Here is a 24,343-nt window from a genome sequence, read left to right as displayed (position 1 = left end):
AGCAGCCAGGCCATTTTCTATCCTATGTTTTAACTGGCAAAGCGCTGCCATATACTTATGTCACAGAATGCTCAGAATAACTCTGTTGGCATGTTTTACTGACCCACCACACAGATGAGGAGAGATGGAGTGTACTAGTGACCTCCCCACAGTCAGAGCTTCTTTGTGGTAAGGCCGGCGTTACCACCTGGATCTGTTGACTGTGGCTCCAGGGGACATTCTGTGACACGGGAGAACCTGAGTTGAGACCGACTTCATCCAGGGTGCACTGGGAATCTGCCTGTGTATCCCACAGATGTTTCAGGCTTACCATGTTCTAAATTCAACCCCTGATCTCCCATCTTACACCAAGCCCACTCTACCTGCAGCCTTCCCCACCTCAGTTACAGCAATGCCATTCTTTTTTTTTTTTATGTGTTTTTGATAAATCTATTCTCCCCCAGCTTTATTGAGCTATAACTGACAAATACAATTATATAAATTTTAGGGGTACAATGATGATTTGATATGTTTATATATTGTGAAATGATTACCATAATCAAGTGAGTTAAGATGTCCCTTGCCTTCTGTGGTTATGTGAAAGGAAAATAAAATCTCTGGGACCTCAAACCCCCTATGGCAAAGGGAAAAGTTAAGTTTGGGAGCTGAGTCATGCAAAAAACAACAATGACAACAAAAAACAAAACCTGCTTTCCTTTTGTTCCTAGACTCACAGCTGCAGGATAGAAGGCCACATACCTCTCCAGGTGGCTTCCCTCACCCTGTGTATTAGTTCATTTTCATGCTGCTGATAAAGACACACCCGAGACTGGGCAATTTACAAAAGAAAGTGGTTTAATTGGACTTACAGTTCCACGTGGCTGGGGAAGCCTCACAATCATGGCGAAGGCAAGGAGGAACAAGTCACATCTTACATGGATGGCAGCAGGCAAAGAGAAAATTTGTGCAGGGGAAATCCTCTTTTTAAAACCATCAGATCTCGTGAGACTTATTCACTGTCAAGAGAATAGCATGGGAAAGTCTTGCCCCCATGATTCAATCACCTTCCACCAGGTCCCTCCCACAACGTGTGGGAATTCAAGATGAGATTAGGATGGGGACACAGCCAAACCAGATCACCCTGACAATGTAAGATAACTAACAGCTTATCTTCACGGGTGTGGAACAAAGACAAGACTAGAAATCATCCCTCTGCCCACCCCAAAACAAATGCATATTTGACTTCTTTCTCTACTCTATTTTTATCTTATGTAAAATGCAGATTTACTGAGCGTGACAAGAATGTGTAATTGACTGTTCCTCTATACCCTCCTCTCACATGTAACATGTGAATTCAGTAAGCACTAATGAAAGTTTCACAAGAATATAACCACTTATCTGGCTACCTACCCACTCTTTTCTTTCCTTTTTCCCCTCCTGCTGCTCTTTCCCCTTTAAATATTGAAGTCTTCAAAACCCTCTTTGGAAAATACATGGGCCACAGATTGTATGGGAACTTGTGTTTCTTTTTCCCAGTGCATCCTCAACCTTGGCAACATGAACCTCTAAATTGATCAAGGCCTGTCTCAGACACTTTTTGGTGTACAATTACCTTCTGTGTGTGTCTGTGTGTGGTGAGAACATTTAAGATCTGCTCTCTCTTAGCAAATCTCAAGTATATAATAATCAGTAACCATAGACACCATGCTGTACAGTAGATTTCCAGAACTTATCTTCTATCTGAAAGTTTGTACCATTTGACCAACCTCTCTCCATTTCTCTCACTCCCCAGCCCCTGGCAACCACACCTCTCATCTCTGCTTCTAAGTTTGACTTTTTTAGATTCCAAATGAGTGAGGTCACCCAGTATTTCTTTCTCTGACTCTTTATTTCACTGAACATACTGTGCTCTGGGCTCACCTATGTTGTGTCAAATGATAGGATTTTCTTCTTTTAAGGCTGAATATTATTCTGTTGTGTATATATACTCCATTTTCTGTATTCATCTGTTGACAGACAGGTTGATTCTACACCTTGGCTATTGTGAATAGTGCTGCCATGGACACGGGAGTGCAGATATTTCTTTGAGATACTGATGTTGTTTCCTGTGGATATATATCAGAAGTGGGATTGGTGGATCTCATGGTAGTTCTATTTGTAATTTTTGGAGGAAGCAGCTCCATATTGTTTTCCATAATGGGGTACTAGTTTATGTTTCCACTAACAGCTTAGAAGTGTTCACTTTTCTCCACATCCTTACCAACCCTTGTCATGGCTTGTCTTCTATAGTAGCCATCCTGACATGTATAAGGTGCTGTCTCATTGTGGTATTGATTTGCATTTCCTTGATGGTTCATGATGTTCCGCATCTTTTCATGTACTTGTGGGACATTTTGGTGTCTTCTTTGAAAAACGTCTTCAGGTCCTTAAGCCAACTTTGTTTTTTCAGTTACCCAAGTAAGCAAATAAACAAACAAACAAAATCCTTACAGTCATCGTTGTCTCTATTTTTCTCTCACACCCACATTCGATTTGTCATGAAATGCCATGAACTTGACCTTTAAAAATATCCAGAATTTGGCCACTTCTCACCACCCTCACAGCTGTCACCCTGGTCTGAATCACCGTTGACATTTGCATGGATTCTTGCAATGGCCTCCTAATTGGTCTCCCTGCTTCTTCCCTTTGTCCCCAATATAATAGCCAGAGTTATCTTTTTTTTTTAGACAGGGTCTTCCTCTGTCACCCAGGCTGGAGTGCAGTGGCACCATCTCTACTCACTGCAACTTCCACCTCCCCGGTCTCAAACGATCCTCCCACCTCAGCCTCTGGAGTAGCTGGAACCACAGGCAGGCACCAGCATGCCCAGCTATTTATTTTGTAGTTTTTGTAGAGGTAGGGTTTTGCCATGTTGCTAGGCTGGTCTCAAACTCCTGGACTCAAGGCATCTGCCCACCTTGGCCTCCCAAAGTGTTGGGATTACAGGTGTGAGCCACCGTACACAGCCCAAGGTGTTTTTGTTTTGTTTTGTTTTGTTTTGTTTTTGAGATGGAGTCTCACCTGTCGCCAGGCTGGAGTGCAGTGGCACAAACTTGGCTCACTGCAACCTCCACCCCCCAGGTTCAAGCGATTCTCCTGCCTCAGTCTCCTGAGTAGCTGGGACTACAGGTGCACGCCACCGCACTCAGCTAATTTCTGTAGTTTTAGTACAGATGGGTTTTCACCATGTTGGCCAGGATGGTCTCTATCTCTTGACCTTGTGATCTGCCTGCCTCGGCCTCCTGAAGTGCTGGGATTGCTTACAGGCGTGAGCCACTGCGCCCGTCCCAGAGTGATCTTTCAACAGGTGACTTAGATAATAAGTCTCTGCTCAGAACCCTGTACTAGCTCATTTCACTCAGTGTAAAAACTAAAGTTCTTACAACGATGACAAAGTCCTCTTTGTTTGTCCCACCCCATTGCTGTGATGACCTCCAGTAGGAGGAGTAGCTACTACGTGCTTCTAATCTACTCCAGCCACCCCGGCTTCCTTACCACTCCTCCGGCATCTCAGGCACGCTTACTCCAAGGTCTTTGCTCTAGATGTTCCATCTTCTTCAAATGCTCTTTCCTCATATTTTGCTTAGCCAACTCCCTCACCTCCTTCAAGTCTTCTCGGGGTTTGAAGAACTGAGAACTGTCTAACACCACATCCTGCTCCGTATCATTGCATTCCAACCCTGCACGCCCGATTCTTTTTTTCTACAACCCTTATTTCCTTCTATGTTACTATATACAGGTAACCGGTAAACTGCGCTATTATTCAAATACATACTCTGACCCTCTCAGGAGGATTATCCTTTCCCCACCCCATTGGCCTTGGACATGGCTACGTGACTGGGTCTGATTGCTGACATAGAAGCAAAAGCATTGTTACTTGTAGGCAGAAGTTACAGGAGCCAGCGTGTGGTTTACCATGTTCTTTATCCTGCCATAATGCCTTTTGCATCTGACTTCTTTCACTTAGCAGTAGTATTTTTGAGTTCACCCATTTTTGAGTTTATGACACCTTGTTCCTTTTCATTGCTGAATAGTATTCCAAAATGTGACTGAACTACAATGTGTTTATTCAGAGTTGCAGATAATGGCTACTCCATCAGGCTGGGTCCTAGAAAGATGACAATCTGTCACAGAGCTGTAGTTAACCAGTAATTGTCAGGTCTCATGGGTCAGAAATGAACTATTGTGCTAGAAGCCACTGAGATTCTGCAAACTAACCTAATTGATGCATATCTGTGTTTTCTGCTCATTGATGGATCAGAAGCATATAGAAAGAGTTTGGAGTGTAGCAGGTCTTTAATAAATATTTGTTAAATGAATAGATGCTGAGGAATGTGATTTAAGGAATGGCAGGAATATTCCAGTCTTGAAATATCCTTCCCTCTCTGCTTTCTGAAACTTGAAACTGTAGTATTATAAATGTACCCTTTTAGGTTAAGTATTATTACTCACTTTTAACATTATTAGAAGTATGCCATAATTGTTTTAATTAGTATTTTTAGTATAAATGATGTGTTAAACATGATTTGGGACAAAGAAAACACATGCTAGTAATTGGAAAGAGTGCTAAAAAATTATCTCTCTATTCGTCAAATGACTTACAGGTGAATAACTCCTGTTCTAGAAACTGAACCGTAAAAAAATTGGGCCCCCTTTTTAAAAATCATTACACAATTTATCTCTGATTCTCAAACTTCTGTTATCATTAACATTATTTTTTAAGTTTTATAATTTTTTTTTTTTTTTGAGGCAGAGTGTCGCTCTGTTGCCCAGGCTGGAGTGCAGTGGCGCCATCTCGGCTCTCTGCAACCTCCGCCTCCCAGGTTCAAGCCATTCTCCTGCCTCAGCCTCCCAAGTAGCTGGGATTACAGGCTAGCGCCACCATGCCTAGCTAATTTTTGTATTTTTTAGTAGAGAAGGGGTTTCACCATGTTGGCCAGGCTGGTCTCAAACTCCTGACCTCAGGTGATCGACCTGCCTCTCCTCCCAAAGTGCTGGGATTACAGGTGTGAGCCACCGTGCCCAGCCAAGTTTTATAATTTTAAAATAGCTTTATTGAGATACAATTTACATATAATAAAATTTGCTAATTTCAGGTATACAGTTCGATGGCCTAAAATAATTTTTTTTACACAGAGTCTTGCTGTGTGGCCCAGGCTGGAGTGCAGTGATGCGATCACAGCTCACTGCAACCTCTGCCTCCCGGGTTCAAGCGGTTCTTGCGCTTCCGTGACGTCACAAGGGCGCGCCTTCCGTGACGTCACAAGGGGCGCCTTCCGTGACGTCACAAGGGCGCGCCTTCCGTGACGTCACAAGGGCGCGCCTTCCGTGACGTCACAAGGGCGCGCCTTCGCCGACACCATAGCGGTGGGCCTTTGGCGACGTCAGAGGCGCGGGTGTTCGCCTACGTCACTGGGGCGCTACGGTGCCTGGAGCTGGGCGGTCTTCTCGTCAGAGTGGGGACTGGTGAGAGCGACCTCCCCGCCAGGTCCTGTGTGTTGCCGGCTGAAGAAGGGTAGCTGAAAAATTCAGACCCAGCACAGTGTTTATGTTGGTCAAAAATAGAAAACTATGGCGCGGCCGAGGCGGGAGGACCCTTCAGGCCAAGAGCAGCCTAGCAACATGGCGCAACCCCATCTCTGTAGTCCTACCTCAGCCCCCCAGCTACTTGAACCCAAAGATTCAAGGCTCCAGTGAGCTATGATCCCACCACAGCATTCCAGCCTGCGAGATTGAGGTAAACCCTGTGTAAAAAAATTAAAAAACTATCCAGGTGTGCAATAAAACATGAGGCTGGCTGGGCCCTACTGTAATCCCAGCACTTTGGGAGGCCGAGGCGGGAGGATGGATGGCTTGGGCTCAGGAGTTCGAGACCAGCCTGGGCAACATGACGAAACCCCGTCTCTACAGAAGATACAAAAATTAGCCGGGCGCGGTGTGCACCTGGCCTAATTTTTGTATTTTTTTTCTAGAGATGGGGTGGGGTGGGGGCTCGCTATGTTGCCCGGGCCAGTTTCGAACTCCTGAGTTGAGGCGATCTTCTCACCTTGGCCATCAGAGTTGTCGGGATTACAGGTGTGAGGGACAGCGCCCCACCTGGGTTAGGCTACTTAATAACATAAGAAAGTGCTCCGCCAGGCTCAGTGGCTGACACCTGTAATCCCAACACTTTGGGAGGCCGAGGCGGGTGGATCACCTGAGGTCAGGAGTTGGAGACCAGCCTGGCCATGGTGAAACCCAGTCTCTACAAAAAATACAAAAATTAGCCGGCCGTGGTGGCGCATGCCTGTAGTCCCAGCTACTTAGGAGGCTGATAAAGGAGAATTACTTGAACCCGGGAGGCGGAGGTTGCATTGGGCCGAGATCGCACCACTGCACCCCAGCCTGGGCGACACAGCGAGACTCCAAAGTTTGACACCAGCCTGGGCAATGTAGTGACACCCTGTCTCTACAAAACAAACAAACAAAAACCCAGGCATAACTGTGTCCACCTGTGGCCCTAGCTAGTTAGGAGGCTGAGGCAGGAGGATCACTTGAGGCCAGGAGCTCAAGGCTGCAGTGAGCTATGATAATCCCACTGCTTCCCATCCTGAGCAATAGAATGAAAGCATGTCTCTAGCTAGCTAGCTAGCTAGCTAGCTAGATAATTGATACGGAGTTTTGTATCAAATTTTTTCCCTAGATTTGAGCATGTTTTTCTAAAGTAGCATTCAATACATCAGCATTTTACAGTGTTATTATTTGTTAATATGATTATGTTTTTCTGAAATACAGTGTCCTTTACAAAAGCAGTTTTGTCTTTCAAAGGACATAGATAAGGCCCTCAAGTGAATTTGTTTGATGTTGGCGACCTTGGTACCATTTTGTCCACTTGATTGGAAAAGCCAGTCAATAATCTCAGGTCACTGTTGGCCTTAGAAGAAGAGCCCAAAGGCAACAAGCAAAGGCGCTGGTGTCCAGTCGCCTTCTAGAAGCATTTTCACTTTCCCTTAAGGTTTCCCTTGATGAACATAGAAGTACTGTATGTAGAATTGACCCAGTGCTGCCCTGGCAACTTTGTATATTAGCCCAAATTTACATTTCTTACCTTTATGAGAGGCACCCTGGTAGGCTAGTGGAGTTACACACAAAGTCTGATCTCAGCTGCACTGTCCAGAGATGCAACACGGTCCAATCAAATAACATTCTCTGAGCCCGTTTCTTTAGCTGTGAAAGAAGAATAACACCCATCTAAAAAGGCAGCTTATTGTATTTGATTGGTCTTTTATTTTCTATGAAACTGTGTTTAACACAGTAATTATTTTCATTTGTATACTACATTTGTGTTGTGTTTTTGGTTTTAGTTTTGTTTTTGAAATGGAGTCTTTCTTTTAGTGGTTTTTTGTTTTGTTTTGTTTTGTTTTTGAGATGGAGTCTTTCTATTGTCACCCAGGCTAGAGTGCAGTGGCGTGATCTCCACTCACTGCAACCTCCACCTCCCAGGTTCAAGTGATTCTCCTGCCTCAGCCTCCTGAGAAGCTGGGATTACAGGTGCCCACCACCACGCCCAGCTAATTTTTTAAATATATTTTTAGTAGAGATGGGGTTACAACATGTTGTCCAGGCTGGTCTCAAACTACTGACGTCAAGTGATCCACCCGCCTTGGCTCCCCAAAGTGCTGGGATTATAGGCATGAGCCACCGCGCCTGGCTTGTTTTAAAATAAGGGTTTCTTGGCTAGGCATGGTGGCTCACACCTGTAATCCCAGCACTTTGGGAGGCCAAGGTCAGTGGATCACCTGAGGTCAGGAGTTCGAGACCAGCCTGACCAATATGGAGAAACCCTGTCTCAACTGAAAATACAAAATTAGCCAGGCGTGGTGGTGCATGCCTGTAATTCCAGCTACTCAGGAGGCTGAGGAAGGAGAATTGCTTGAACCCAGGGGGCAGAGGTTGCAGTGAGCTGAGATCGCACCATTGCACTCCAGCCTGGGCAACGAGCAAAACTCTGTCTCAAAATAAAAAAAAGATTTCTTAAAATGATATTTTCAGTATTTTATAGATGATGTGTAAGCAGCAATCTTAATAGGATGTTACCCGACACTTTGCGAGACTGGCAGCTGATTTGATCCAGATGTCTCTAATTCTTTTTTCTTCTTCTTTTTCTTTTTCTTTTTCTGTGTTTTTTTTTTTTTTTTTTTTTTTTTGACAGAGCCTTGCTCCGTCCCCCATGCTGGAGTGCAGTGGCACGATCTCGGCTCACTGCAACCTCCACCTCCCGGGTTCAAGCGATTCTCCTGCCTCAGGCTCCCGAGTAGCTGGGATTACAGGCGCGTGCCACCATGCACAGCTAATTTTTTGTATTTTTGGTAGAGACAGCGTTTCACCATGTTGGCCAGGCTGGTCTCGAACTCCTGACCTTAGGTGATCTGCCTGCCTCGGCTTCCCAAAGTGTTAGGATTACAGGCGTCAGCCACTGTGCCTGGCCCAGATGTCTCTAATTCTAACATGAGACGTATTGCAGGATCATAGCAGAGTGAGTTGCTGATGTATCCAGAAGGAAACGAGCATGGAACTCTCACGACAGCTGTCCTGAGAAGTGTGTGTGTGCTGTACTTGAATATCTCACTGCTCATTTATACACAGGCTTTCTGGTGACTGAGTTAACAGTATCTGTTTCATAAATAATGTAGCCCTCTTTCTTTCTTTCTCTCTCTCTCTCTTTTTTTTTTTTTTTTTTTTTGAGACAGGGTCTTGCTCTGCTACCCAGGCTGGAGTGCAATGGTGCAGTCTTGGCTCACGGCAACTTCAGCCTCCTGGGTTCAAGCGATTCTCCTGCCTCAGCCTCCCAAGTAGCTGGGATTACAGGCATGCGCCACCACGCCTGGCTAATTTTTTCTTTTTTTTTTTTGAGACGGAGTTTCGCTGTTGTTGCCCAGGCTGGAGTGCAATGGCACAATCTCGGCTCACCACAATCTTTGCCTTTCGGGTTCAAGGGATTCTCCTGCCTCAGCCTCCCGAGTAGCTGGGATTACAGGCATGTGCCACCACACCCGGCTAATGTTGTAGTTTTAGTAGAGACGGGGTTTCTCTATGTTGGTTAGGCTGGTCTCAAACTCCTGACCTCAGGTGATCTACCCGCCTCGGCCTCTCAAAGTGCTGGGATCACAGGCATGAGCCATCACTCCTGGCCTAATTTTTGTATTTTTAGTAGAGAGAGGGTTTCACTCTGTTGGCCAGGCTGGTCTCGAATTCCTGACCTCAAGTTATCTGCCTGCCTCGGCCTCCCAAACTGTTGGAATTACAGGCGTGAACCACCATGCCTGGCCAGCTCTAGTTCTTTAAGCCTACATGTTTTGCACTTGTTAAAAGTATTTGAACATACAATTACTCAGCTTCCCTTGTTGACGTGTGAATTTTGTATAATCTTATTTTTTCCAATCTAAGCTTTATTTTATCCCGTTTCTTCTATATTTGTATAACTTTAGGCGGCTATCTTCATTGAAAGTTTTTTCTCAAAAGCCTTAAGATAGAACATAGTTCTTGGCAGCAATTTGAAAGTTATTTGAGGAGAAGAGGAGACTTACAATGATGATTCAAATGAAGGAAACTAAAAAGTAATGAAGCAAGGCAGAGGAAAAAGCAGTATTCACTTGAGCACATCCCAAAAGAATAACATTTCAAATGTAACTAGGAAAAAGTATGCTGAAGTTCGCAATACAGAAATAATTATTAATAAGATAGCTTTAAAGCCCTGCTCAGCTTTTGAATGTTGGGAATTGACCCAGAGGTGGCTGTAACCTAAGATGGTTCCTTCAGTAATGACCATTTTTTCTTTTTCAAGATGATGATTATTCCCCACCTTCTAAGAGACAAAGACCAACGAGCCACCACAGCCACCAGTCCCAGAACCCGCCAATGCTGGGGAACGGAAAATGAGGGAGTTCAACTCTGGTAAGTTCTCAGCGAAATCCATGACCTTTTCCTTTATCTTCTGGACTCTCAATGTGACTGATGAAAGTTACCACATGCTCTGCAGGGGGAAATGGTTTAGCATGTGTTACTACATCTTAATCACATCTTTGTAAAGCCAGGAGCATTTTACAAGTCATGTTACAGACATTGTTTAAACATAGTCTGTATTTACCAAAGTATAGGACGTTGTATCATCTCATATTAATTAGTTAGTTGGCTCAAAATGAGTGCTAATGACTTAGTAATTCAGTGATTTCTGTTAGCTTTAAAACCTTTATTTCAGAACTATTTCACCTCTTGGTTTTCATTTTTGCTGTGTGTCACTGCCTGCCGGCTGCTAATTTATTAACTCCCAGTGAATCATGTGTCCTGTGAAGGGACTGAATATTAGTGGCAATTTATGTTGATGATTTGTATTTTGAATAAATAGTTTGAATACATAGAACATTAAGCTTGTATACATTTTGAAAATAGTATTTTAATATTCTACTGTGTCATAGTTACAATGATTGGATATATATTGAATTTATATGTACTTTAAGTTGTTATATGTTTATGGTCTTTAGCATTCTAACGTGCAATTGTGTATCTGTTAAGTCTTTTTTTTTTTTCGAGATTAGACTGATTTATTGAGGCGTCTGTTTGATGCCACATTAAGTGGCCCAGGCTTTGTGTAGGGGTTGAGGTTAAAGCAGGAAGAAGGGTGGTGAGAGGCGGGGCACCAGGGTTAGGTTGGAATACCTGGGGGTGCTCTGAGGCTCCCCAAGTTTCCCTGGTCTTGGCCGGCTGTGCTGCTGGCCTGGGCATCTGATGGGCCTGCAAGGGTGGTCCAGGGGCTAGGGCAGGGACTTTGGAGTCACGCCGTTGGCTTTGAATCCAGACTCCTACGCTTGGTAGCTGTGAACTCTCCATGCCTCAGGGACCTGCAGAACTGAGCTCTGTCTGAGCCAGGTTCCATCCAGGCACTGTGCATCCATCCAGAGGGGCACTGCCTCAGGCTGCTCGCTATTCACTGCCTTCCCAAGCAGACCCTTGTCTCCTTCTAGGCCCTCACAATCCAGTGGAGGAGACGAAACTCATCTGCCTCTGTCCCTCTGGGCACGCCTCATGCCAGGTGCATCTGTGGACAGGGGCCACGCTCCTGGGCTTCCAAAGTTGGAGAAAGCTGCCAGGCTCAGGTGGGTACATCACAGCAGCTGCTGCCCTCTGAACACAGTGACAAAAGAACACTCTGGGCCTGGAGCCCTGGTCTGGGGCATTGGGCAAGGCTGTTGCACTTCTCTGATCCCATTTCCCCATCTGGAAAGTGCGCTGATTGTATCTCCCTGTGGGCACTGAGGGCTCAGTGTTAGTTTGATAGCCAGCATCTGGGGTTTGGGCTGTAATTCCCCATCAGCCCCATAGCTGCGGGGAACCAGGGACTTTGCTGGGATTACCCTAGGCATCAGTTTAGCTTCCTGCCCCTGGCTTGGGCTCAGCACCTGAAGTAGTCTAGGGGGTAGGTGGTCCTGGTGGGGGCTGGGGCTTTTACTCAGACTGAGGTCACACCCAGAGCCAGAAGTCTTGGTGCCTGCTCTGGGCAAAGGTGCCAGCCTGTGCGACAAGAGCGAAACTCCGTCTCCAAAACAAAAACAAAAAACCTTGCGTCATTTCAAGGGGCTCACACCTCCCTAAGGGCCTGGTAATTGGCTGGCTCTGGCCTGCATCTGGCCCCGAGGGTGTAGGTAACACCCCACCTTACCTGGTTTCTTCCTGCCAGGGCCAATCTTCAGACCTCAGGACTTTGCAGCCTATCCCACCTCCCCTCTGGCCAGCCTTGAGCCCTTGTGGGTCCAGCACTTTTTCCAGGCTGTCTCCTGGTTGTCCTTCTGCCTCGAGGCCTGGCTCATGCTGCTCCCCCTCCCACTCTCCAAGACCCACAAGGACCACTCCACACCCAGCTCAGCCCCATCCCCTCAGATAGTCCTTTCTCTTTCCTCAGGTGGCCAGGTGCATATCTTGGTGTGAGGACCTTCACTGTATCTGGGAATGCCTACTGGTTACCTCGGTAACAGAGAACAAGGCATTTGCCTGATATGAGTGTCTTGGTTCACTGTCTACATGGCTAGGGAGGGAGTCAATAATAGGCTTTTCACTTGCTGCAAGGGCCAGTTCTCCTGGCCCCATGGCTCTAGGGATGGAGGACGCTGCAGGAGATGCACTGCTCACTTCCCAGCTGAGGACTGTGGGTCATCTCAGGGCGATTTCACAGTCCCCACATGCCCCACCCCCTCAGCTCTGCAAATACCAAGCAGTGCAGCCTGCCTAGGGGATGATGGGCTAGAGAGTGCCCAGGTAGTGCCCAGAGTGCCCTTGGCAGGCCCCTCACCTGGCTGCTTCCACAGCTCTGTAGCAAGAGTTCTAACCATTTTTGACCGTGAAGCCTGCTGAGAATAAGAGCTGTGGACTGTTTTCCCAGAAAGGCATGTACATGCTCTCCACACAAAACCTTTCATCGTGGCCAAGCACAGTGGCTCATGTAATCCCAGAACTTTGGGAGGCGGAGCCAGTCGGATCACCTGAGGTCAGGAGTTCAAGACCAGCCTGCCCAACATGGCGAAACCCTGTCTCTACTAAAAATACAAAAAATTAGCCAGGTGTGGTGGCAGCCACCTGTAATCCCAGCTACTCCGGAGGCTGAGGCAGGAGAATCACTTGAACCTGGGAGGCACAGGTTGTAGTGTGGTGAGATCATGCCACTGCACTCCAGCCTGGGCGACAGGAGCGAAACTCTGTCTCAAAAAACAAAACAAAACAAAACCTTGCATCCTTTCAGGGGGCTCACACCTCCCTAAGGGCCCAGTAATTAAACCCTTTGGGCCTGAGGGTGAGAAACTTTGTCTCAGTTCTTCCCCGAGTGATCAGCCCAGGGGTAAGGAAGGAGAAGCCAGAAAGCAGGACCCATGAGAAGGGCCCCCTCCTGGAGTTTGAGGCCCACTCCCTCCTGCCCCTGCCTCTCCTCTGTCCAGGACTCCTCCCTGCTCTGCCCCACTCCTGGGGCCATAACCATGGGGAGCTGTGGTTTTCTACAGGCCCCTGGGCACAAAGTGGACAGGCTCACCTGGAGGCGATCAGAGTAACATGGCAGGAAGTGAGGGGGAAAGCCGCCCTGGAACTGTGCCTCTCTGCCCCCTGACGTCACTGGCGTGCACTCCTCCCTCCCCTCACTCAGGCAGTGGCATGAGTTCCACGTGAGTGCTGTCCTGCTCCCTCTGCTGCCTCTTTTTTTCCTTGGGGCTGCCATAACACTTTCCCTTCCCCAGCCCTGCCAACCTGGTGGGACATTGGGCTTCCCTCTCACAGGGTCCTGGGGACAGGCCCATCCTTTATCATACCCACAGAGAGACCCTTTTTTTCTTCAGGACCTGGGGAGCAGCCAGGTTCCATGAGTTAAATGCAGATCTGAACCAAGCTGGGATTGGGGTACACACTCTCCTCTACTGAAAAGTAGCTAGGGATTCCAACTAGGTGAGAAGGAGAGTGGGGCAGAGCCAGACCAGACAAGGACTGATCACCTGGAAAAAGCCTGCCATCAAAGGTCTTGGCAAATGCTGGGTGCAGTGGCTCACTCCTGTAATCCCAGCACTTTGCGGGGCTGAGACAGATGGACTACTTGAGGCAAGGAGTTCGAGTCCAGCCTGGGCAACATGGCAAAACCCCATCTCTACTAGAAATACAAAAATTAGCTAGGCATGCTACACTCCTGTAATCCCAGCTACTCAGGAGACTGAGGCAGGAGAATCACTTGAACTGGGGAGGCAGAGGTCGAAGTGAGCCGAGATTGTGCCCCTGCACTCCAGTCTGGGAGACAGAGTGAAACTGGCCTCAAAAAAAAAAAAGAATATGGCCTTGGCAGAGAGGGGCCAGCCCAGCAGTGCCTTCCCTTGGGTTTCTCCTGGGTAGGCCTCTGCCATGAGGAGGTGCTTCCTTCTGCCTGTCCATGGCCCACAGCAATGGAATGTCTGCTTCTGGGGCTTGGGTGGGAGACTGCTGGCAGAACTGGAAACCTTCAGGTGGGGTTTTTTTGTTTTGTTTTGTTTTCGAGATGGAGCGTCGCTCTGTCACCCAGGCTGGAGTGCAGTGGTGGAATCTCAGTTCACTGCAACCTCCGCCCCACTGGGTTCAAACAATTCTCCTGTCTCAGCTTCCTGAGTAGCTGAGATTACAGGCATGTGCCACCATGCCCGGCTAGTTTTTGTATTTTTTGTATAGATGGCATTTCACCATGTTGGCTGGGCTGGTCTCGAGCTCCTGACCTCAAGTGATCCACCCACCTCGGCCTCCCAAAGTGCTGGGATTACAGGCATGAGCCACTGAGCCCAGCCCCTTCAGGGGGGTTTTGAGGCTTCACTACAATACTAGTTTCCTGTGGCTGCTGCAACAAATTACCACACACTTAGTGACTTAAAACAACCAAAATGTATTCCCTTACAGGTCTGAAGGCCAGAATTCTACAGTAAGTCCTACTGAGTCAAGGTGGGAGCAGGGTCGGTGGCTTCCGAGGCTCTGCGGGAGAATCCGTTTCCTGGCGGTAGAGGTGGCCTGCACTCCTCAGCTTGTGCTGCCCGTCTCGAATGACTGGAGTTTCCTGCTTCTGTCACTACACCTCCCACCCTCTCCCATCACCTGCTCTGCTCTTACAAGGATCCGAGTGAGTACATCAACCCCAAAAGCCAAAGACCCTTAACTTCATTATATCTGCAAAGCCTCTTTTGCCATATAAGGTCATGTTCACCAGTTCCCGGGATTAGGATATGGGCATCTTGGGGGCATCAGCCTGCTACAGCTAGGCTGCAAAACTGTTACACCCTCCTGGTGTTACAATGATTGGGAGAAAAAGGGTTGGCATTTTTTGCTTAGGGGTCCCTCTTAAACTTGTATCTGTAAGGTCGGGGGTCCCTCTTAATCTTGTGTTTTTGTTTTTGTTTTTTTGAGGTGGAGTCTTGCTCTGTCATCCAGGCTAGCAGTGGCGTGATCTTGGCTCGCTGCAATGTCTGCCTCCTGGGTTCAGATGATTCTCCTGCCTCAGCCTCCTGAGTAGCTGGGACTGCAGGCGCCCGCCACCATGCCCTGCTGTTTTGTATTTTTGGTAGGGACGGGGTGGGGGTGGGGCTAGGGAGGGGGGTTTTGGCTATGTTGCCCTGAGCTCAAAGCGATCCGCCTGCCTCTGCTGCCAAAGTGCTGGGATTACAGGCCTGCACCACTGCACCCGGCTGCTGTAAAGTCTTATTTCACACAGCTGAGACATGTTTTAGGAAGTTTGCTAAAAGACCCCGGGAGACCGCCTCATTGTGACCTCCCTGTTATTGTGTTTAATTTGATTGAACTTTTCTGCCCTCCTGCTTTTCAGCTTCTCTAATAGTCTCCCATTAAACCAATTCTAAGAACCACCAAAAAGGGGAAATTTTTTCTTGAAAGCAGTAAAATGATATGGACCGTTAGAATGTAAAATATATGAAATAAGTCATTATATGTTAGTGCTGCTCTGACATAGGGACGTATTATTGAGAAGCAACTTTTGCTTGATTTTCAGAGAAATGGAATAATCGTATCGCTGATCTATGTAAACAAATTGAAGAATTGTCTGAAAGAAAATATGGTATGTCTAAACTGGAAAAGTCCTGTAATCTTATGTTCATGGGCGTTTACACAATGGAGTTACTGTTCATCATGGGGGTACCGTGGACAAGCCCAGGGCTGCCGGCGAGTCATGCCATCCTTACACGTTTCTCCTTGTAAGGTGCTTTGTAGTGTCTACACACTTTGTTTCTAGATTGCTGCAAAGCTGAGGAAAAGTTGTATTTCTTTAGTTATTAGCATTTCTTTTAAACTTTCAGTATGGAGATTGGAAATTTATTTACATATTTATTGCAAAGCCCTGGATCTTAGGGATTTCATTGAATTATTTATTTATTTTTTTTGAGACGGAGCCTCACTCTGTCGCCCAGGCTGGAGTGCAGTGGCACGATCTCGGCTCACTGCAACCTCCGCCTCCCGGGTTCAAGCAGTTCTCTGCCTCAGCCTCCTGAGCAGCTAGGATACAGGCACCAGCCACCATGCCTGGCTGATTTTTGTATTTTTAGTAGAGACGGGGTTTCATGATCTTGGCTAGGCTGGTCTTGAACTGCTGACCTCCTGATCCACTCACCTCAGCCTCCCAAAGTGCTGGGATTACAGGTGTGAGCCGCCACGCCTGGCCAAATATTATTTTTTTAAATGAATTGTTTCTCTTAGTCTGCTTTGTTAAATTTGGAATTCATCTGGGCGTGGTGGCTCACACCTGTAATCCCAGCACTTTGGGAGGCCAAGGCAGGCAGATATCTAGGTCGGGAGTTCGAGACCAGCCTGACCAACATGGAGAAACCCCATCTCTACTAAAAATACAAAATTAGACGGGTGTGGTGGCGCATGTCTGTAATCCCAGCTATTCGGGAGGCCAAGGCAGGAGAATCGCTTGAACCCAGGAGGCAGAGGTTGCGGTGAGCCGAGGTTGCACCGTTGCACTCTAGCCTGGGCAAAAAGAGCAAAACTCCATCTCAAAATAAATAAATAAATAAAATGTTCAGTACTCACCAAGGTGCCCCTATTGTCTCTACTTTTATCTTGATGCATCACTGAATTGATGTTAGATTTCAAATTCATCATTGTCCTTACACTATTCTATCCTGAAGCCACCTTTATATAGTGATGAAAGAAATTAGTGATTTGTTATTATCCTCTCTCTGTTGGTATACATCAAATGCTCACCTAAAAAGAGCAACAACCAGTGGAAAACACATGATGTTTTTATTTGGGTGACTATTTACTTGTAACCTACTAGCAAACTATAAAATTGTATGATATGCAGAATTTTAACTGAATTGCTTTAAGTGAACATTTAAACATGATAAACAATATTGATGGTATTTATGTTAATATACTTAAAATGAACATTTTTCTTCATCATGAGTAATATAACCTACTCCTCAATGAAAACCTAGCATTAAATTTGCTAATGAATTCAATAACATTTCCATAATATTTTTAGTTACATGCTTAAGGTTCTCTTAGTGTTTCTCCCACTTTTTAATAGCTTATGCCTTTTTCGCCTTTGGTTTTTTTTGGTTCATTTTAAAGCAAAAATCTCACAACATGTGATATCTGGAAACACTGTAACCTAGTGGTAAGACCATAGGCCCTGGGGACACAGGCTGGCCACGTCTCTTCTCCTGTCTGAGCTTTAGTATCCTCTTTTGTGGTCGTGAGAACTGAAGATCTGTCCCGAAGATTTGATAAGATAGTAAAGTGCTTCACATAATACCAGACATATAAATACACAGTAAATGCTTCCTCCTTATATTTTTATTGATTGATTGATTGAGACAGAATCTTGCTCTCTTGCCCAGGCTGGAATGCAGTGGCGCGATCATGGTTTCTGCAACCTCCACCTCCTGGGTTCAGGCAGTTCTCTTGCCTCAGCCTCCCGAGTAGCTGGGATTACAGGTGCCTGCCACCATGCCCAGCTAATTATTGTACTTTTAGTACAGACGGGGTTTTACCATGTTGGCCAGGCTGGTCTCGAACTCCTGACCTCATGATCTGCCTGCCTCGGCCTCCCAAACTGCTGGGATTACAGGTGTGAGCCACTGTGCCCAGCCTGTCTTTTCTCTTCACACCCGCAGTTCATGATGAAATATTAAATATGTACTAGTGGATATTACTTTGCTGAATATTGCCTAGTGAATATTAAGTATTTATTCTCACCTTTCAGACATGAACTTATGAATTCAACAGGTGAAGATTTACAACTTGATAAATCAGCTTTGTGAGGTATGTCTTCAGTCTTAAGTCAGATTAGAAGATTATGTGAGGTAATTAACACTTAACATTGATTTAATGGTAGCTTCCACATGAAATAGTATGCCTCTAAGTATTAATTATGTCCTAGGACAGGAGAATTCATGTTGTCAAAATTCTCATACTCTCTAGAACAATAAACTCATTTTCTTTTTATTAGTAAATATTGCATTTATGGGTAGACAAAACTGAAAGAACAATATTTGTTCTACTTTTGAGATGCGAGATTCATCTGGCATAATGCATTGAACAGGTTATTATTGAAGTCTACACCAGTCAAGTGAATAAGCATTCATCAAATGTCCATGATATGCAGGACATAAGTTTTCTTTTAGAGTATGGAACCATGCATATTATCTTTTAATTAGATGATTTAGTTAGATATGTTTTTAAAGAACTAGAAATGTAATTGATTTTCTTGTTTTGGCTCTGGAGTGGAGTGGGGACGAAACAGAATGGATTCACGCTGTTTAGATTTACTAAAATGGAAGGATTGCAGCAAGATCATATCCCTAGTCTCCCCATAGCAAATGTCACCTGCTAGCTGTTTTTTTTTTTTTTTTTTTGGAGGTTGAAGTTTTGTTCTGTCACCCACGCTGGAGTGCAGTGGTATGATCTTAGCTGATGGCAAGCTCACCTCCTGGGTTCAAGCAATTCTCCCTGCCTCAGCCTCCTAAGTAGCTGGGATTACAGGCCTCTGCCACCACGCCTGCCTAATTTTTGTATTTATAGTAGAGTTGGCGTTTCACCATGTTGGCCAGGCTGGCCTTGAAGTCCTGACTTCAGGAGATTCACCCGCCTCAGCCTCCCAAAGTGCTGGGATTATGGGTGTGTCACTGCACTTGGATTTAATGGGATATTTCACTACAGACTTTGGTAAACAGAATATTAGCATGTTTGGTGTTCTTTTTATTTTACTCATACTATTTTTCTTTGGACTCAATCACAATAACAGAATTAAAGATCAAAGTGTAAAAGTTAAACACCAGTACAGATTCAATAATTATTCTTTTCTACATACTGTGTTTAAATGATATCCCTTTTTCTTTTTGTTCTTATAGCTCGAGCTGTAAAAGCCAAAGGTCCGGTGATGATCCCATACCCTTTTTTCCAGTCTCATGTTGAAGATTTTTATGTAGAAGGCCTTCCCAAAGGAATTTTTTTTTTTTTTTTGAGATGGAGTTTTCACTCTTATCGCCCAGGCTGGGGGGCAATGGCGCAACCTTGCTGGTCACTGCAACCTCTGCCTCCTGGGTTCAAGAAATTCTCCTGCCTTAGCCTCCCAAGTCACTGGGATTACAGGTGCCCACCACCACACGAGGCTAATTTTTGTATTTTTAGTGGAGATGGGGTTTCACCATGTTGGCCGGGCCAGTCTCGAACTCCTGACGTCAAGTGATCTTCCCGCCTCGACTCCTGACATCAAGTGATCTTTCCGCCTCGGCCTCCCAGAGTGCTGAGATTACAGACGTGAACCCATGCCTGGCCAGGAATTTTGTTTTTCAGGAAGGCTTTCTACTAATGGAATTCCTGGCCTTGAGAGGATGTTACTTTCGAAGGAAAGGATTTTTTTGTTATTAAAAGGTAAGATTCCTGGATTCTTATTGGACTGTTATCTCTGTTATGAGTAATCCATCTTTAGTCATTCACCACTAGGGTTGTATTTAATTAAGTCTGAGTTATTTTATGGTGGTGTGGTTTTGTTTTGTTTTGTTTTTACCAAATTTTGTTCTCATTGCCGTGGCTTGAGGGCAATGGCGTGATCTCAGGTCACCACATTCTCTGCCTTCCAGGTTCAAGCAATTCTCCTGCCTCAGCCTCCTGAGTAGCTGGATTTACAGGCATGTGCCACCATGCCTGGCTAATTTTTTGTATTTTTAGTAGAGATGGTGTTTCACCATGTTGACCAGGCTGGTCTAGAACTCCTGACCTTGGGTGATCCACCCGCCTCGGCCTCCCAAAGTGCTGGGATTACAGACATGAGCCACTGCGCCCAGCCTGGGCCTGCTTCTTTCTCTTTTTCTTTTTTTTTCATTAGCAGCTTAAAATTGGTGCCTTATTCAGACACAAGCAAAAGGACATTAGCCCAGCTTTGGAAATAGGTGAGAGGCCATCTATGATTTTCCTAGTTTCTCCTCCCCCTTTGCTTTTTGCTCTCTTGTTAGTATATTAATTGTTTTCACTCTCTGAATCTTTTTTCCCCATTTCTTTGGCAGACATTTTTACTTGTCTTGGAAGAGTAGGTGAAGAGCTGTTTTTAGGACTCTTTGAAAGGGTACAGTATGGGTGACAGTCTTGGCTAATGGTAACATCCAGGGAGCTGGGGTCAGCGTGAGCTGGAATCAGTTCAAATTAGCAAAGCACTGGCACTCAGTGGCAGGAATACAAGTGACTGCAAAGTGTTAAACACATCTGGAAAGGGATACTGACATCATCCTCAGAATCTGTGGGGAGTTCACATAGCCAGTTAAGACCCATTCCTCTTTGACCCTGTAAAGATTCTTTAAAGACTAATACCCTTAGTGGTTTTCTAGCCAGCTTGCCTGCTCATTTATCTTTGAGGACGACATGCCTTGTGGAGCTCCACAGGCCCCAGAGGGGTATGGATTCTGCATTTGAAAGTGCTGAAGCTGAGAGACTGGGTCTTGGTGGACCCCAAGAGGTCTGTTTCTCCTCTACTCATTGTTCCTTTTTTTCCCAGCAGCTGGCATTGCTGTTTAAATGGGTTGTTCTTTGCTGTTTTAAGTTGTTTCATAGTGGTGTGTCAGGATTTGGGTTTTCTTAATACTTTCCAAGCTGGTGACTTGAGTGGTGGTTAGGGAGGAACTGTTTTAGGGCTGTTCTGGAGCTATTGAGGTCAGGTGTCTAGATACTCCCAGCTTGTCTGTTGAGGAGAATGCTGTTCTCATTGTGCTGCCTTTGGTGGTGCTGTGTGTGGCTCTTTAGATGTGGGTGGAGGTGAGCTGGGGGAGTTAATGAGATCTTTTTTAGGTGCTTTTGATAAAGTAGCCTGCACTACAGGATTCACTGTGACTTTTTTCCTTAACCTATGCATTTCTCTCTGCTAGCTTTTGCTGTCTTTCTCATGCCTTTCATTTTCCCAGCTCCTCTTAGTTGAATTAACCTAAGTGCTCTGCTATGGTTTAAATGTGTCCCCCAAAGTTTATGTGCTGGAAACTCAATCCTCAATGCAACAGTTGGGATGTGGGGCCTAATAAAATAGCCTTCATGAATGAGTTAATGTTGTTATTGTGCTAATAGATTAGTAATCACAGAGTGGGTTTATTATAAAACAGAGTTCAGCCCCCTTTGCCCTCTTGCTTTCTTGCACTCTCTTTTCCTTCTGCCTTCTGTAGTGGGATGATGCAGCAAGAAGACCCTTACCAGATGCAGGCCCCTCAACCTTGGACTTCCTAACATCCAGAACTGTTAAGAAATAAAATTTATTCCTTTCCTTTCCTTTTCTTCCTCCTTTCCCTTCTCCCTTTTCTTCCCTTCCCCTCCCTCCCTCTCTCTCTCCCTCCCTCCCTCCTTCCCTCCCTTCCTCCTTCCCTCTTTCTCTCTTTCCCTTCCTTCCTTTCCTTCTTTCCCTTCCTTCCTTTCCTTCCCTCCTTCCCTTTTTCCCTCCTTCCCTCCTTCCTTCCTTTTTTCTTTCCTTCCTTTTTTCCTTTTTATAAATTATGCAGTCTGTGGTATTCTTTTATAGAAGCATGAAATGGACAAAGACTCCATTTTCAAGAGCAAGCACTTTTGTAGTTTCTGAGCGAATTATGACTGCAAAGGAAGTTCTTTAGGTAGCCTCAGATGCACTACCTAGGAAGCATGCTACCAAGCAGACCTAGGATCTAGGATTTGATCAAGTGCTGGGCAACATGATACCTCAGCAATTTAGCACCTCCCTATATACCTCCAGTTGGCTCAGCCCATCAGGGCTAAAACTACCCCTCATATCCTAGTGTCTCTTGTAGGCAGAAGCCTTGCCTAAACCCTAAGCTGCTTGGCTCACATTCTGTCTTGTGCTTTTTTTGTAGGGGGTTCAAATATACACAAAAGAAATATGTTGAACCTCCATGCACCCAACCCGCAGATTAAGCAGTTACCTCCATTTTTCCAGATTTGTTTCGTCTGCTTCAATCTCCCTAAAAATTTATGTTTGTACAGGAAAGACTGAATAAATAGCTAATTCTCCACCCTACCTCTCATCTTAAGTCACTTTTTAGAGTAGTAAGTTAGTGACCTAGTAACCTTCCCTCTACTGACCAGTAGTTTTTTTTCTGAATACCATTATGAACTCAGATTATTGTTTGCATTTGATGTATTTCAGGCCATTGCAGTCTATATTGTTTTGGATGCTTACATTGTCTCATCTAGGTTAATAATTATCTCTTCAAGTTGACTTTCATGTCTTTTTGATGTGATCCTGTTGGACTTTGATGGCTTCCTTGCTTTCTGGCAAAAAAGATGTTCCAGGATCAATATACTGCACCATACATGGAGTCAGCCATTTCTCTAGGGAACCTTGATTCCTTTTAGTAGAGAACACAGTTTGAGGTCTTGGACTGAATGACTTTTGTGAACCTCCTCTCCTGAGACTACAGCCTGCATCCCTGCATATAGCCTGTTTGGAGCTCTTGCTGGGCACCAACAGATCTCCTAAAACTGCTATATAGTTCTGCCTCACTCTTACAAAGATTCATCTCTTGAGAGTTTTGTGCTCTACCCCCAGATGTGGTCTTTCTGGTTCTGAAGCTTTTGCTTCAGTCACCCTGAATTTTGCCAGCCCTATGCATGCTATACCTTGGATTGCCAACTTGCCCTCACTGAAGCCAGTTTCTCTGGTTAGAATAGTTGCCCCAACCCATGCCCAGTACTCTAGTAAACAAGGTTCTACCTGGGCTTAGGTTAACTTTTGCTCCTTTGGCCCTGTGTTCTACCAGCATTCCATTTATCTGAAACTCTCCCTCATCTTAAGAACTTATCTGTTCTTTAATGATTTACTGCTGCTTCCTGGGTTTGAAAGAACCCAGTTCAGGAGTTTCTGTTTTAGTTTGAGATCTCATAGGCCTGTCTCATCAGGTTGGTGTCAGCCCAGCTAGGATTAGGCAGAATTGGGTGGGGGCTGTAGTGCATTTTTGGCACAGCATGTACCTGTCTGACTAATTCTCTGTCTTTTCTTTCCTGTTGCAATTCATGGGTCTTAGCATCTTCTGAATGGTGTTTAGTAGGTCATCCTGTTGATTTCCTGCTAGGGAGTAGCATACTCTGGCTCTGTACCATTGGCCAAGGGACTTAAGGGTAGATGAAGGGCTGCAGTTTTGTTAAATGGAACAATATGAAGAGATGGCATTGTAAAAAAAAAAAAAAAGGCTTGGCAGCAGGGCCCATTTGAATGGTTGGTCCTTGGCTCCTTTGTTGATATAGGCAGATCCTTGATGGGAATTTGGAATGATCCCAAATATTGTAGATCACTGGTACATCAAGTCATCCTCAAGGTTGTCTGTGTAACAGTCTTGAATGATATTTTGTCAGTCTTTGGAGATTCTCTGTATAGGGTTTAATCATTTAGTTATTTCAGTTGAGCCTGTTTAGTTTCTTTGCAAGGAGATAAGAAATGTGAAAGAGATGCAGACATTAGGGAAAAAAAGTCAGGAGCCTTGTTTCCCCACCCTCTACTTGGGTTCTGGAACTAGACTCATAGGTGAGTAGTGAGGAGCTGGGCCCAAGCACATTAATCCTAGATCTAGCTCTGCTTTGCGCTCGCTCCAGTTCTTGTATCAAATTCACTTCAAGCCACCCAGAGTAGTATGTAGAGGAGTCATTCAGGACCGTGCTTATACTTCATTGTATCAAATGGGAGATCCAGTAATTTATAGCCTATTGTTTCTGGAGCCTGGAGATGGCTCTGCATAAGATTTGCTGAAGCAAATTTTATTACATTAGAAGAGAACCTAGCTGGCTGCATCCTACACTGGAAGCTTTTAGCTGCTAATAAGGAGGTCATGTAAAGGTCACAGAATGACTCTGGAATCCATTCCCCACCAAGAAAGAATAATGACATTCTATGTTGGCCTCTTTTCATTTCCCTTTGATTTTGAGTAATAAATTCTCTCCTCACTTCCCAGCTGAACTGTTTGGGAGTCTCTATTCCCTAGAAAGACTCTGGTCACATACCCATCAGATTAAATTAGGTGAAAACTCTTTGGCCTTCATGAATGTTGAAGGATTTCAAAGGGCTAATGGAAATTCTTCTAGAAGTAACTGCAACCTCCGCCTTCCGGGTTCAAGAGATTTTCCTGCCTCAGCCTCCCGAGTAGCTGGGATTACAGGTGTCCACCACCATGCCCAACTAATTTTTGTATTTTTAGTAGAGACGGGATTTCACCATGTTGGCCAGGCTGATCTAGAACTTTTGACCTCAGGTGATCTGCCCGCCTCAGCCTCCCAAAGTGCTGGGATTACAGGCGTGATCCACCGTGCCCAGTTAAACTTCAGTTTT

General features: G+C 45.4%; 1 long non-coding RNA gene across 1 annotated transcript in view; it reads left to right on the top strand.

The window, feature by feature from the left end:
- Window positions 1-5,396: 5,396 nt before the first annotated feature.
- LINC01347 (long intergenic non-protein coding RNA 1347) overlaps window positions 5,397-24,343 on the top strand; it is a 45,431-nt gene continuing 26,484 nt past the window's right edge. Inside the window, exons 1-8 of the long non-coding RNA NR_029401.1 lie at window positions 5,397-5,755; window positions 9,842-9,951; window positions 11,019-11,150; window positions 14,446-14,662; window positions 14,947-15,100; window positions 15,545-15,610; window positions 17,762-17,820; window positions 18,909-19,431. This is a non-coding gene — a long non-coding RNA (long intergenic non-protein coding RNA 1347). The remainder of the gene's footprint in view (window positions 5,756-9,841; window positions 9,952-11,018; window positions 11,151-14,445; window positions 14,663-14,946; window positions 15,101-15,544; window positions 15,611-17,761; window positions 17,821-18,908; window positions 19,432-24,343) is intronic.

This window comes from Homo sapiens, chromosome 1 (genome assembly GCF_000001405.40).
Source record: "Homo sapiens chromosome 1, GRCh38.p14 Primary Assembly".
Classification (NCBI taxonomy): domain Eukaryota; kingdom Metazoa; phylum Chordata; class Mammalia; order Primates; family Hominidae; genus Homo; species Homo sapiens.
The sequence above is the reverse complement of the archived record's forward strand: the minus strand, read 5'-3'. Positions and strand labels throughout refer to the sequence as shown.